The 13,638-nt window shown below is 33.6% G+C and overlaps 1 protein-coding gene and 1 pseudogene across 6 annotated transcripts in view; both read left to right on the forward strand.

The window, feature by feature from the left end:
- PKHD1L1 (PKHD1 like 1) overlaps nucleotides 1–13,638 on the forward strand; it is a 174,747-nt gene that overhangs the window by 50,749 nt on the left and 110,360 nt on the right. For 4 of the 6 annotated variants that reach the window (NM_177531.6, XM_011517371.3, XM_017013971.2 and 1 more), the window contains 4 exons: nucleotides 212–336; nucleotides 5,888–6,051; nucleotides 7,309–7,481; nucleotides 11,876–12,023. In NM_177531.6, the coding sequence (NP_803875.2) occupies nucleotides 212–336; nucleotides 5,888–6,051; nucleotides 7,309–7,481; nucleotides 11,876–12,023 (610 nt within the window). Of the gene's footprint in view, nucleotides 1–211; nucleotides 337–5,887; nucleotides 6,052–7,308; nucleotides 7,482–11,875; nucleotides 12,024–13,638 lie in introns of those variants that run through there. The other 2 variants (XM_047422421.1, XM_047422422.1) reach the window with 2 other exon arrangements.
- Nucleotides 2,817–3,845, forward strand: LOC100420748 (suppressor of cytokine signaling 5 pseudogene; annotated as a pseudogene).

Below are 13,638 nucleotides of genomic sequence, written 5' to 3' on the forward strand. Positions count from 1 at the left end.
AAGGTCACCTCAACCTCACTTTGTCTGTAAAATCTTTCGCAATTCTTCTGCACATAACTGGCTGAAATTAATCATTTATTTCTCTGTGTTCTGGTACGTTTTATGTAGAAAATGCTCAATAAATATTTATTGACTTTGAATTTATTTGAATTGTTGTGAAACAATGTAATGGTAATATATTGTTACCAATGTTTTTCATATTTTTATGTAGTTATGTTTAGCATACAAAGGATTCCTGGCAAATTATATTGGTCTAAAATTTCAGTACCAAGACAATAGCAAGATTACTAGAAGCACTGATACACAGTTTACATACAACTTTGCTTATGGAAACAAGTAAGTTACGCTATGAATTTGAAAATTACATTATACCATGGTATATAAACTACAAAGATAAGACAAATCCATTTCTTGGGGTTTTTTGTTTTGGTCTGTTTGGGGAGATGAGGGCAAATAATGCACACAATGGATGTAAATGGCAGTTTTCCTATCTTACACATGTACATCCAACAGAAATAGTCATGTTTTAAAGAAATCTCTAGATTATGAAAATGACAATTGGTCATGACATAGTCACCCATAACCATAAAAAGACAAAACAATGGTAAACTTTAGAATTTAAATTATGTATTACTAAATCTAATAATGTTCCTAGTTATGCTGGAAGGTAGAAAGAGACAGGCTTATCACAATATAGTCATTATAGTTTGATCACTGAAAAAAAAGGAAGTAGAGAGATTTTGAAATAATGCTTGCTGTGCCAAAAGTTAGGCACAAAGAAATGCAAATAGAGAAACATAAAGGAAGAAACAAAATAAACCTAGAGAAGCTATTTAATGACTACAGCTGTCATGCCTTTAAACACAATTTAGTTCTATATAATTATTTTTTGGGTTTTATTAATTTTTATATCTTCTGAAATTTATGTCAGTTGTGACTGCATTTTCATACACAGTACATACAAAAATTTCATTTATGGTATTTCATTTACAACAGAAGCAATAGTGAAGACATACACAGAGACACATACCTTTCTATTTTATACAGTACTCCCCATACATTGTTGTTGTTTATTAAAGTATAATTTACATAAAGTAAAATTCACTCTTTTTAAGTGCACAGTTTAGTGAGTTTTAACACATGTATACAGTCACGTAACCATCACTCCGCTGAAGACATAGAACATTTTCTCTCTACAATTGTAGAAGTTTTTCTTTCATATAAAGTTTTTCTCATAAAAATAACCATGGTGGGATCTCCATATCTTGAAAATATTCCTTTTTTTTTTGCTTTTTCTTCTGTTATAGCTACATCACAATTTTTATTTTATATGGGTCTATACAGTTTATATGATACTTTAATACATGCCATGTAAGTTTCCATCATTTTATAAGATATGGAGAGCATTATTCTATTATAATAAGACATGGAGAGCACTATTTTCTTCCCATCGTAGAATAGAACTCTGTAACTCAGAACTTTCATGTGTGGAACAAGCACGAGGGAGAACCAGCTTCTCCTCTTGACACCCAGACAGAGAGAGTGAGAAAATGATCCAAAGTTGGAAATAGAACCAAATGTTGACAATAAACAAAACAAAGACAAGAAATAAAAACAGGCAAGATGTTAATGGAGAGTAGAGTAGTTAGATGGGAAGAAATGGCAGTCTTGATGGAAGAATAAGTTTCTTGATGCAAAAGCTGCTGCTCAAATCTGCAATTTCAATTGTCCTGTTTTCTACATCATCCCAACATTATTATTATTATTATTATTATTATTATTATTATTATTATTATTATTATTTTTGAGACAGGGTCTGATTCTGTCACCGTGGCTGGAGTGCTGTGGGACCATCACAGTTCACTGCAGCCTTCACCTTCTGGGCTCAAGTGATCCTCCCACCCCAGCCTCCCCCCACAAGTAGCTGGGACTGCAGGTGTGCACTACCACGCCCAGCTAATTTTTTTGTTTTTGTAGAGATTGGGTCTTGCCATGTTGCCACAGCTGGTCTTGAACTCCTAGGCTCAAGCAATCCTCCTGCCTAGGCCTCCCTCCCAAAGTCCTGGGATTACAGGCATGAGACACCATGCCTGGCCCCCAACACTATTTTCAAAATGCATCAGCCAGTTCCCAATTCATAACTTTAGAAATTCATATACTCTAAAAATTGTTGACATATGTTGGACGGGAAAGGAAACCTTGTTTGTTAAAAGTTTTAAGAACTATCTTTTAGAGGACAAGAAGTATGAAGTGGGAAACAGCCAGGGTGTAGACCTGGAGGTGCTCCAGCAAAGCTAGGTCCCCGGACTCTACCAGGAGGAAATCAGTTGTGTTCACTGGGACAGTGGCAGAAAGGTGACAAAAGATGGGACCAGGCAGGTGGGTGGGAGCATATCAGAGTTATCCTTCCTGTGGAACTGGAATGATCTTAATTTAAAAAAAGGAGGGGGCTGGGCAACATGGCAACCATCTCTACAAAAAATACAAAAATTAGCTGGGCATGGTGGTGCACACCTGTGGTCCCAGGTACTCAGGAGGCTGAAGTGGAGGATTGCTTGAGTCCGGGAGATCCAGGCTGCAGTGAGCCAAGATTGTGACACTGCACTCCAGCCTGGGTGACAGAATGAGACCTTGTCTTAAAAAAAAAAAAAAGGGGTGTGTGTGTGTGTGTGTGTGTGTGTGTGTGTGTGTGTGTGTAGGAAATCATAGTCTTCCGTTTTTAATATAAAACATCAACATCATATTTGAAGTATATATCTCTGGCATCAGATCCTGAGCATATGGACCTAATTCTCTTCAAATACTCTGATCAATCAATGGATAAAGTGAGGGCAACTGTAGACCAAGTTTAAATACAGGTGTCAGTATCTCTTTAGTCATGAGGTAGGAGTCCACAGTCCAACAGGTGTTTGTCAGAGGGAAAAACTTTAATAAGGGCGTTAAGCTTTTCAAAGGATTCTTCAGGAAACACAAAAGTCATGCTTCATATATTCCTTAGGTTCTTGAAATAAGCATTAAAAAGATAATGATTGATGTCTTGTCCCAAGTATAATATCTACACATGTTTCCACAGAATGTAAAGAAAGAGAAATTCTTGTTTACACAAAGTTCATTAGATACTGAAGTGTGGTAGAACTTGAAGTGGACTTCAAAGAAGAGAGAGAGAAAAATGCCTGAAATCTATACATGCTGTGGATGGTGTTTGCACAGAACCATATGATTTTAATAATTAACAATATCAATTCTTCCAATCCATGAACACTGAATATATTTCCATTTATCTGTGTTGAGAGAGATATATTAGTATTGAAAAACATGTTGCATCCCCCAGTGCACAAATATATGCCTTTGAGGCCATTACATAGTTCAATCCTATGTATAAAATGGGACTGAAGCTAGCTCCTGGAATGAATGAAATGAGTGGGGAGAATGCTACCATTCCACAGAGGAATTATTGACTCAGAAGGGGACATCCTTTGTTGGTAGTCACATAGGCAGATGCAATACCAGAAGTCGAGCCAGCCCTGCCTCTGTTAGGTGGCAAGGAGCATGAAAAGTCCATAAACAGAATGATTATATACCACTGCTTCATGCCCAATTTGCTACAGTCCATCTTTATGAAGCAGAAATCCTTCTCAAAGGGACATCTGAGGTACATTTTCAACAGGAAGGAATGATTGAATTAAACAGTGAAATAACAATTTTACTTTTGATGCCTATCGCCCTTATGCTATGAACTCCTCCACTGCCACAGGATTTTGGAACATTTTATTGATCCTTGTTCTTCTGTATCAATCAAGTCATCACTTACCATATCATTAAATAGTTCTCTTTTTAGCCTATAATTTGGGATGGCTGAAGGGATGTGGGGATGGTTAATGGGTACAAAAAATAGCTAGAAAGAATGAATAAGACCTAGTATTTGATAGCACAACAGGGTGGCTAAAGTCAATAATAATTTAATAGTACATTTAAAAACAATTAAAATATAATTTGATTGTTTATAACACAAATGATAAAGGCTTGAGGGGATGGATACCCCATTTTACATGATATGATTATTATGCATTGCATGGCTGTATCAAAACATCTCATGTACCCCACAAATATATACACCTAATATGTATCCACAAAAAAAAACTAAAAATTTTTTAAAAATTAAAAAATGTATCTACTGTGCACTAATTTCAAGATGTATTACATTTGATGGAGTTCATGGATTTTCTTTACCCTAAATGTTGCAAGACCTTTAAACAAGAATATCATGATTGTTAAAAATAACAGCGTTCCCTTGATATTACCAGTCAAGACAAAATTTATCCGCTTCTAACAGGTATTTCTTTTTTTCTTTTGAGATGGAGTCTCACTCTGTTGCCAAGGTTGGAGTGCAGTGGTGTGATCTCAGCTCACTGCAACCTCCACCTCCCAGGTTCAAGCAATTCTCCTGCCTCTGCCTCGGCCTCCTGAGTAGCTGGGATTACAGGCGCGTGCCACCCCGCCCAGCTAATTTTTTGTATTTTTAGTTAGAGATGGGGTTTCACCATATTGGTCAGGCTGGTCTCGAGCTCCTGACCTCGTGATCCACCCACTTCGGCCTCCCAAAGCTCTGGGATTACAGGCGTGAGCCACTGCACCTGGTCTCTAACAAATATTTCTAGATCTGCTTTAATATAGGTCAGACAGTCCACCTGGATCAAGTAGATGTATTAGTATTTGTTATTTTCAGTACACTGTTAGTGTTAAAAGTGCCATTTCCCATCCCCCAAAATTGTTCTACAACCTTCCAAAAAGTGGTTTGTAGTTGTAAATCAAGTTTTAAAATCTAAAAACAGGCTGCCTTTCTCTTCAAAAAATGGAATTATTTAATCACAAAGGCACAGTGTACAGTTCAGTTTTGATATCATTTTCAGTCTCCTTTTCCCTTATAAAAGGTCCTGTTCAGTATGCCAAATTTTCTAAGTTGTGGTTTTTAAAATTTTAGAATTGCATAATCAGTTGTACAGTTCTACGCTGAGGCCCTAAGTACTTTTTTTTTTAATTTAAAGAGCACCTTAACTTAATGTCGTTTGCATACAATTTGCTAAAACTGATATGTGTAGTCTAATCTTTGATGAGCTAGAGGTGGATCCCATGATGAGTTTATGAACCCTGAAGAAAATGGGACTGTAAGGTACCCAAACAAACTAGTCAGTTAATAACTACAGTGGTAGCTGATGAAAGATTATTGTTAAACTATATTTAATTATTTGAATGGAAATACTTATATATGTGTTACAAACTCTTATAGCTTTAATGCTTAACTGTAATTTATGGGATTCCAATGCAGTTATGATTTAATGGAAAATCTGAATCTGAGTTATACATTTAAAAGGTACTGTGCAACCATTTATATCTACAAATAACACCCTTCTAGCACTTAGAACAATGGACAATGCTGCTCCAGGGAACTTCCCTGGAAGAGTTATAAAGTTCCAGTTTTGCTTCTTAGCAGCGGACTGAACTTACTGTTCTATGCCTGGTATTGTTCACAAAAATTGTTGACTCCATTCTTGTGTCTTGTTTTGTTAATATGCTCTACACAAATGCCTGTGCTTCTTAGTTTCCTTACTTGTTGTTACAGAATGTTATTTTACATTCCTATGGCTACTGCCAAGGCTACAAATAAAAGAAAGCCTATATTTGTATACAATGCTAAATCTTTTACTGCCAATGTAAGTTTCTGCCTGCTGTGCCTTGTTACGGCTGCTTTTCTGTGCTAATAAAGCTCCCCTGATGGTCGTCTTGTGGGAAAAAATATTTTACTCTATAAAATTTTAATGCTTTCTAAAGTGTATTTGCTTAAACATTACCACTGATCTATACAACAAATTAATCAACCGTATTTCAGCTGGACTTACACTTGCATAGACCTTCTGGATCTCGTAAGAACGAAATACACTGGGACAAATGTTTCTCTTCAGAGGATTAGCTTACATAAAGCATCAGAATCACAGTCCTTCTATGTGGATGTAGTGTACATTGGACACACATCTACAATCTCAACATTGGATGGTATGTTGTATCATTTTATCTCTGCTTTAATCTAAATATAGTAAAATCTTACCATGGAAATTATTTTTATATTCTGCAGTATGGATAGAAACATTAATATCTAAATATTAATGAGTCACTCTTTTATCTGAATAATATTATGATTTTATTTTGTAATGAATAGTGCAAAGTGATTATTCCAAGGATAAATGAATCCTTAATGAAAACTTTCTCACAATAGCAAGAATTTGCTTTATAGTCCAGGATTTTGTTTATGGATAAATACACTATGTCAAACATTTTCTTTTTGCTTTGTTTTATTTTTGAGAAACCAACTACCATGAGAGAGATCTATTCCCAAAATGCAACTACTGACATTGACATCTGTCTACTAAGATCGACTTGAAACTTTCCATAGACTTAAGAGTGATAATTAATAATACTACAAATGAAACCTTCATTTCAATAGTGTTAGCATTGTGTTTCTAGTCATGTTAATAGACATGACATTTATTAGATGTAATAATAATAAAAATTAAACTCCACGATCTTTTAAAAAATTAACCTAACTCCAAACAGTCACCTTAAAAGTGACTTTTCCCATTTTTGAGAGGAACATTAGAATCCTTTTCTTTGGAACTGCTTTCAAGTGCAAGGTGGTGAGTTAACTGATTTTTTTTTTTAATGTAAATGCTACTACTTCATTGTCACTCCTTTTGAATCTGCTGTCACCAGACTTACATTATGATTGGTAGAACATGTATAAGACAGATGGATTGTGCTGGGATAAATATTGTCGTTCATTAAATGATATTCACTTAGAACCTACTATGTGTCAGGCATTGTGTCAAGTACTAAGAAAAGAGCAATGAAGATGACAATCTTTGTCCTGCCCTCATGAAGCACACATCCTAGTGAGCACCACATTTGGGGGATGTAGAACAGAACAAAGCTAACTAACCACAGAAGGCTGCAGGAAACCCAGGGATTGGTGGCCTTTAAATATTTGGTTTTTACTTGATAGGGTTCATATGTCAAAAGACATAGAGCTTCATAATATAAAAGTGAAAGTTTAGCAAGCTTCATAAACTACTTGCCTTCAGGTCTTCTTTCTAATACTTGATTTTAAATACTTCATGACAATGTTGATATTATTTGATGATTTTATTTTTAGCAACAGAAGCAATGCAATTTTATCTCCTCTATTAGGTTAATTTTACATGGCAAAAACCACAGTTACTTTTACACCAACCTAATATTTTTATTTATATTCTTTAGAAATGCCCAAGAGAAGACTTCCTGCATTAGCAAATAAAGGAATATTCTTAGAGCACTTTCAGGTGAATCAGACCAAAACAAATGGGCCAACTATGACAAACCAATATTCTGTTACCATGACTTCATACAATTGCAGTTACAATATACCCATGATGGCTGTGAGCTTTGGGCAGGTAAGCCTAGAATTTTGCATTAATTTTTATGTAGTGAATTTTATTTTTAATTTTTTTAAATAACCAACATACAGATGGAATATTTTAACAGGAAAAGACAGCTAACTATTCTAAGGTTATATGAAGATTTGGAGTATGAAAATTGACTTTAAGTATTAAAAAAATTCTTACAGAAATATGTCTATGGGAAGGAAAACAGGGAGAAATATCCTTAAAAAACAAAGTCATATTTAAGTAGAGTTTTCTCTGTGGACGTAAAAGAAAAAATTATGGTCTCTTCCAATAAACATCCTGAAACAGATATTATTGAGAGAAAAATTGAGATTCTGCATTATGCTTTTTAATTGTTTTGTTATAAACACCATTTATTTTTGCTTGTATGAAAATTTATACAAGGGAAGAAAGAAGTGGTTTTTCATAATTCCAGAAGGACCTGAACAATTTTTTGTACATTTGTAATAAGATTAATATTAAATATTACAAATATAATGAAAAATTTAAAATTAAATTTCTATAAAAATATTCAATGAGTTAATATAATTTCCTACCACAAACCAAAAACAAGTATAATAAGCTCAAGATTAAAGATTAAATAATCATTAACCATTGTAATTGGATTAGAGCCTCACAGAAAATTTTTGCAAAGTAAACAATTTTATGATTAAAATTACTGAAAAATTATAAAAACTCCAAAAAAATTGCCTTTATCCCATCCTGGCCCAATGTTTTAGTCTTAATATCTTCCAGATTAGCATCTTACAAATGCTTTTCAGTGCTTTACTCTTAGCTCTATTAGAAAATATAATAACTGGCCGGGCGCGGTGGCTCACGCCTATAATACCAGCACTTTGGGAGGCCGAGACGGGCGGATCATGAGGTCAGAAGATCGAGACCATCCGGGCTAACATGGTGAAACCCCATCTCCACTAAAAAATACAAAAAAATTAGCCGGGCGTGGTGGCGGGGGCCTGTAGTCCCAGCTCCTTCCGAGGCTGAGGCAGGAGAATGGCGTGAACCCGGGAGGCGGAGCTTGCAGTGAGCGGAGATCGCGCCACTGCACTTCAGCCTCGGCGACAGAGCGAGACTCTGTCTCAAAAAAAAGAAAATATAATAACTAATTCAAGGCTCTGTATTCTCAAAGCATCTGTGTCAAAATTCTCCCATTTTTCAAGATTCCTCAATAAACTAATTGGTAACTGTAACCTCTATCTTTAATTATTCATCAAAGTTTACACTGAAGAATACAGGACTTAGATTTTTGTGACCTTTTAAAAAAATTCAAGTGATAGGTACATGTAATAAATAATATGCACATATGTTAAATGTATAGATCAATAAATTGTTTTAAGAACTTTAACTTTGACATAATTGTAGATTCACATGCAGTTGTAAGAAATAGCACAGAACTATTTTTATATCCTTTACCCATTTTCCCCCAATGATAATTTTTTTGTATAATATAGCATAATATCATAACCAGGAAATTGACATGATAAAATCCACTGACCTTATTCAGATTTTTCCAGGGTTGTGTGTGTGTGTGTGCGTGTTTGTGTAGTTCTTACACAATTTTATCATAGGTGTAGATTCATCTGACCACCACCAGAACAGTTCTATTACGAGCGTCTCTTGTGCTACCTTTTTGTAGCCATGCTGTCACAGCCATCTCCCTCGTTCCATTCCTCCTGCACTCACTTATATATGGCAACCACAAATTCATTCTCTCAATAATTTTGTCGTTTCAAGAATGCTACAAAAATGGAATCAGATGTCATATAATCACACAAATACATAGCTTTTGTATACTGGCATTTTTTTAACTCAGCATAATTCCCTTGAGATCCATTCAAATTGTGTTGATCGATTTATTCATTTTAATTGCTGAGTATATTTACTGTTATGGATGTACCAGTTTGTTTACTCACCCGTTGAAGGACATTTGAGTTGTTTCTTGGTTTTGGCTATTATGAATTAAACCGCTATGAACATTCATCTGTAGGCTTTTGTGAGACATAAGTTTCCATTTTTTCTCGGTTAAATTCCCAACAGTGCAATTATAGGGTTGTATGGTAAGAACATGTATAGTTTTTAAAGAAACTACCATATTTTTTTTCTGAAGTGGTTGTACCATTTTAGATTCCCACCAGCAGTGTACGATCCAGTTTCTGCACAATCTTGCCAGTGTTTGGTGATGTCACTATTTTTAATTTTAGGCGTTCTGGTAGGGTGTGTAACGATGGTTCATTTTCATTTTAATTGATATTTCCTAATGGCTAATGATGTTGAACATCTTTTTATGAACTTATTTGCCACCTACATATCTTCTACTGTGAAATGTCTAGGTATAATTCTTTTGTCAGATATATGGTTTGCAAATATTTTCTCCCAGACTGTACCTCACCTTTTCATCTTCTTCATAAGGTCTTTGACAGAACAAAGTTTTAAAAATTTTATGAGGCCAAATTTATCACTTTTTTTTTTCTTTTTTGAACGGTGCTTTTGGTTTCAAGTCTAAGAACTTACTTAGCTCTAGGTCCTGAGGATTTTTCTTTTTCTAAAAATCCTACAGATTTACATTTTATATTTAAGGGCATGATCCATTTTGTGTTAATTTTTACATGTAAGATGTGATTTTTCGTTGAGGTTCATTTGTTTGCCTATGCCTCCAATTGTTTCAGCAACATTATTGAAAAGGCTATCTTTCTTCCATTTAATTACATTGGAACCTTTGTCAAAAATCATATTTGTGTGGGCATATTTCTGAGTTTTCTATTCTTTCCATTGGTCTATGTGTCAGTCCTTCCACCAATACCACACATTCTTGACTATTGTATCTGAATAGTTAGACTTAACATTGAGTAGAGTGATTCTTCTTACTTTATTTTTCTTGTGCAAAATTGTTTTAGCTATTCTAGGTCCTGTGCCTTCCCATATAAATTTTAAAATAAGATTATTTATGTCTACAAAAAAACCTTGCTGGTATTTTGACAATAATTACATTAAATCTATAGACTGTTTTGGAGAGAATTGACACCATTGTGATATTGAGTCTTCCAATCCATGAACACAGTATGTCTCTCCAATTATTTGTCCTCTTCGTGCTTTACCAGCATATTTAGATCTTCATTTATTACATTTATCGGCATTTTGCAATTTTCAGTTCAGGTCTAGTACATGTTTTGTGAGATTTATAAACGTGTTTCATTTTCTTCGAGCAGTTGTAAATGGTCTTGTGTTTTTAAATTCGATTTCCACATGCTCGTTATTTGTATATAGAAATGTAATTGATTTTTGTGTCTTTATCTTGTATCTTATAACCTACTGAATTCAACACATTTTTACAAAGTAGATACACTCATGTAATCACACCCAAATGAAGATAATCATTAGCTCCCCAAGTACCTTCCTTGAACCGCTCTTCTTTCTTAAACTCACTCCTCACCCCAATAACCACTCTTTTGACATCTACTACCCTGAATTATTTTCGATTGTTCTTAAACTTCATATCAATAAAATCATACTGTGTGTACTCCTTTGAATCTAGCTTCTTTCATTCAATTTTGTGAGATTCACATTGCATATACTGTAGTTTCATTCTCTTTGATTGCTGTACATTTTTCCATAGTATAAATATACCATAATTTATCCATTCTATTGAACAACTTTTGCATTATTTCCAGGTTGAGGCTATTATGAATATAGCTGCTAGGAACATTCTTGCTTATGTCTTTTAGCACTAATGTTTATTCATTCTGTGGTCTAGAAGGCTTATCATTTTAAATTTTACAGTAGTAACAGATAACTATAAGGTATCATCAACAGGAGAATATAATTTTCATTATTGGGGTTACAATCTATGAATTTCTACAGCATTTGCTGCTTCTGTCAATTGATTAGCACTGAACATTAAACAAGTATTTTTTTTTTTAGCCTGGGTCAGCCACTGTATAAATCATAAATTTTCTTAAATTGTTGGTTAACTTTTCAAGACTCCATGTACTATTTTTTAAAAAATCATTTTAGTTTTTTAATAGCCAAGACCACATCTCATGCTCCTTTGCCTCTCTGCAGTGATTAGCACTGTACCTTGAACAGAGTGCCTGCTCAATAAATATTTGTTCCTTGAGTGATGGAGGGTGCATTCTGAATTAATGAGGTATTACTGCAGTTCCAGCTGATTGCTGCACAGATGAATGAGTTGACTTTGGCCTCATTATTGCAGCCATATAGGTATGGCCTGTGTTGATTTATGTGACACTCCTTAATGTTCTGAAGAATCCTGAATACATGAGGCTCATTTATGTCATGTCACAGGATTGTACCATGATGAAATAGAAATCATGTAAGCCATTGTTAAGTTTAATCATTTTATCAATATTTATTTTGGAAATTAGATAATCACACATGAGACAGAGAACGAGTTTGTCTACAGAGGAAATAATTGGCCAGGCGAGTCAAAAATTCATATTCAAAGAATTCAAGCTGCATCTCCACCTCTAAGTGGCAGCTTTGACATTCAAGCTTATGGACATATTCTTAAAGGTATATGAAAAAAATTTAAAATATTGGTGTATACGCACACACATATGTATAACCTTATAAAGTGTTAAATTTTGTTTAACTTGAGAATTACTACTTATTGATACATACAAATATATTAATTATTTATTTGATATATAAGTAAATATGTGATATATTAAAGTCACACATGCATATATATTAATATATACCATATTAGGGTCAATTAATAGCCAATCATAAAGGTGTTTCAAATCCTTCTTTTTAATAGATTAGGAAATACTTCACCCATCCAAAGCTAACATTATTTATTTTGATTGTTTTCCCTTAAAAATAATATTTTTAAAAGTCTGCAAAAATTTATAACAATTTTTTATAGCCATTTTTTAAAGGCAGTTGAAATTATGACTTTCATAAGTCAAAACTTTCTATAATACATGCATTTTAAAAAATAAGCATTCATTACCTACTGTGGTAGCCATAAACAATAACAATAATATTAAAATAGAAAAATTGAGAATTGGAATATGATTTTAAAAGTCATCTATAATTGAATTATCTAAGTCTGTGCTATTCAATATGGTAGCCATGAGTCATATGTGGCTACTGAGCACTTAAAATGTGACTAGTGCCACATGTCAAAATATAACATTTGAATATAAGGGATTATATGCAATTTATTACTATTAAAATATTTTACCTGGTTTTGTTTTCTTTCTAAAATATAGCTACCAGAAAATATACAATTATGTATCTGGTTCACATTATTTATCAGTTGTACGGGACTAATCTAGACAACTATAATAAACATTTTGGTGTACTCCTTTTTAGTAGTATTTCTCTTATAATTTACATAATTGAGAGTATGTCAGTAATATGAAGCTAAACTATTCAGGGCAAGTGACATTTTTATGTTTTTGTCACTGCTTTATCCACTACACTGGTGACATTCTCAAATGTTTGTTTCTCTTTTATATTCATGACTTATAGGTTATCAGTATTTTCAAAGACATTACAAATTAACATTGTTATTAATTTAATCAAAATCGATTTTAAAAATAAAAGTATTTCTATATTAAAAGATCATTTTAACACTCAATATATTCTGACACTAAAAGGATTTTATTTTTAATATCAAAATGAATTGATATGAAAATATCGACTGATATTTGATATTTGTGAATTGATATTAAAAATATTTGGTCCAAGGCCACAGTATGAGGTACATTACTCATATAATTTTTAAAAATAATTATTTATTATTATTTTGAAATTGATAAAATTGCATATATTTTATTTCCAGGAAATATATAAATTCTTGGCAGAAGTAGAATGCAAATTTTATTTTTACTACATTGGAGGGGGACATAGAGTTTGCAAGTGATAATACATAGTACACATTTCATGTGCTTTAAAGATGAAATTGGTTTGTGAATATATTTTATTTTATTATTAATTTTTTTTTGAGACGGAGTCTCGCTGTCACCAAGGCTTTAGTGCAGTGGCACGATCTTGGACACTACAACCTCCGCCTTCCGGGTTCAAGTGGTTCTCCTGCCTCAGCCTCCCGAGTAGCTGGGATTACAGGCACGCACCACCATGCCCAGCTAATTTTTGTATTTTTAGTAGAGACGGGGTT

Source organism: Homo sapiens, chromosome 8 (assembly GCF_000001405.40).
Source record: "Homo sapiens chromosome 8, GRCh38.p14 Primary Assembly".
NCBI lineage: Eukaryota > Metazoa > Chordata > Mammalia > Primates > Hominidae > Homo > Homo sapiens.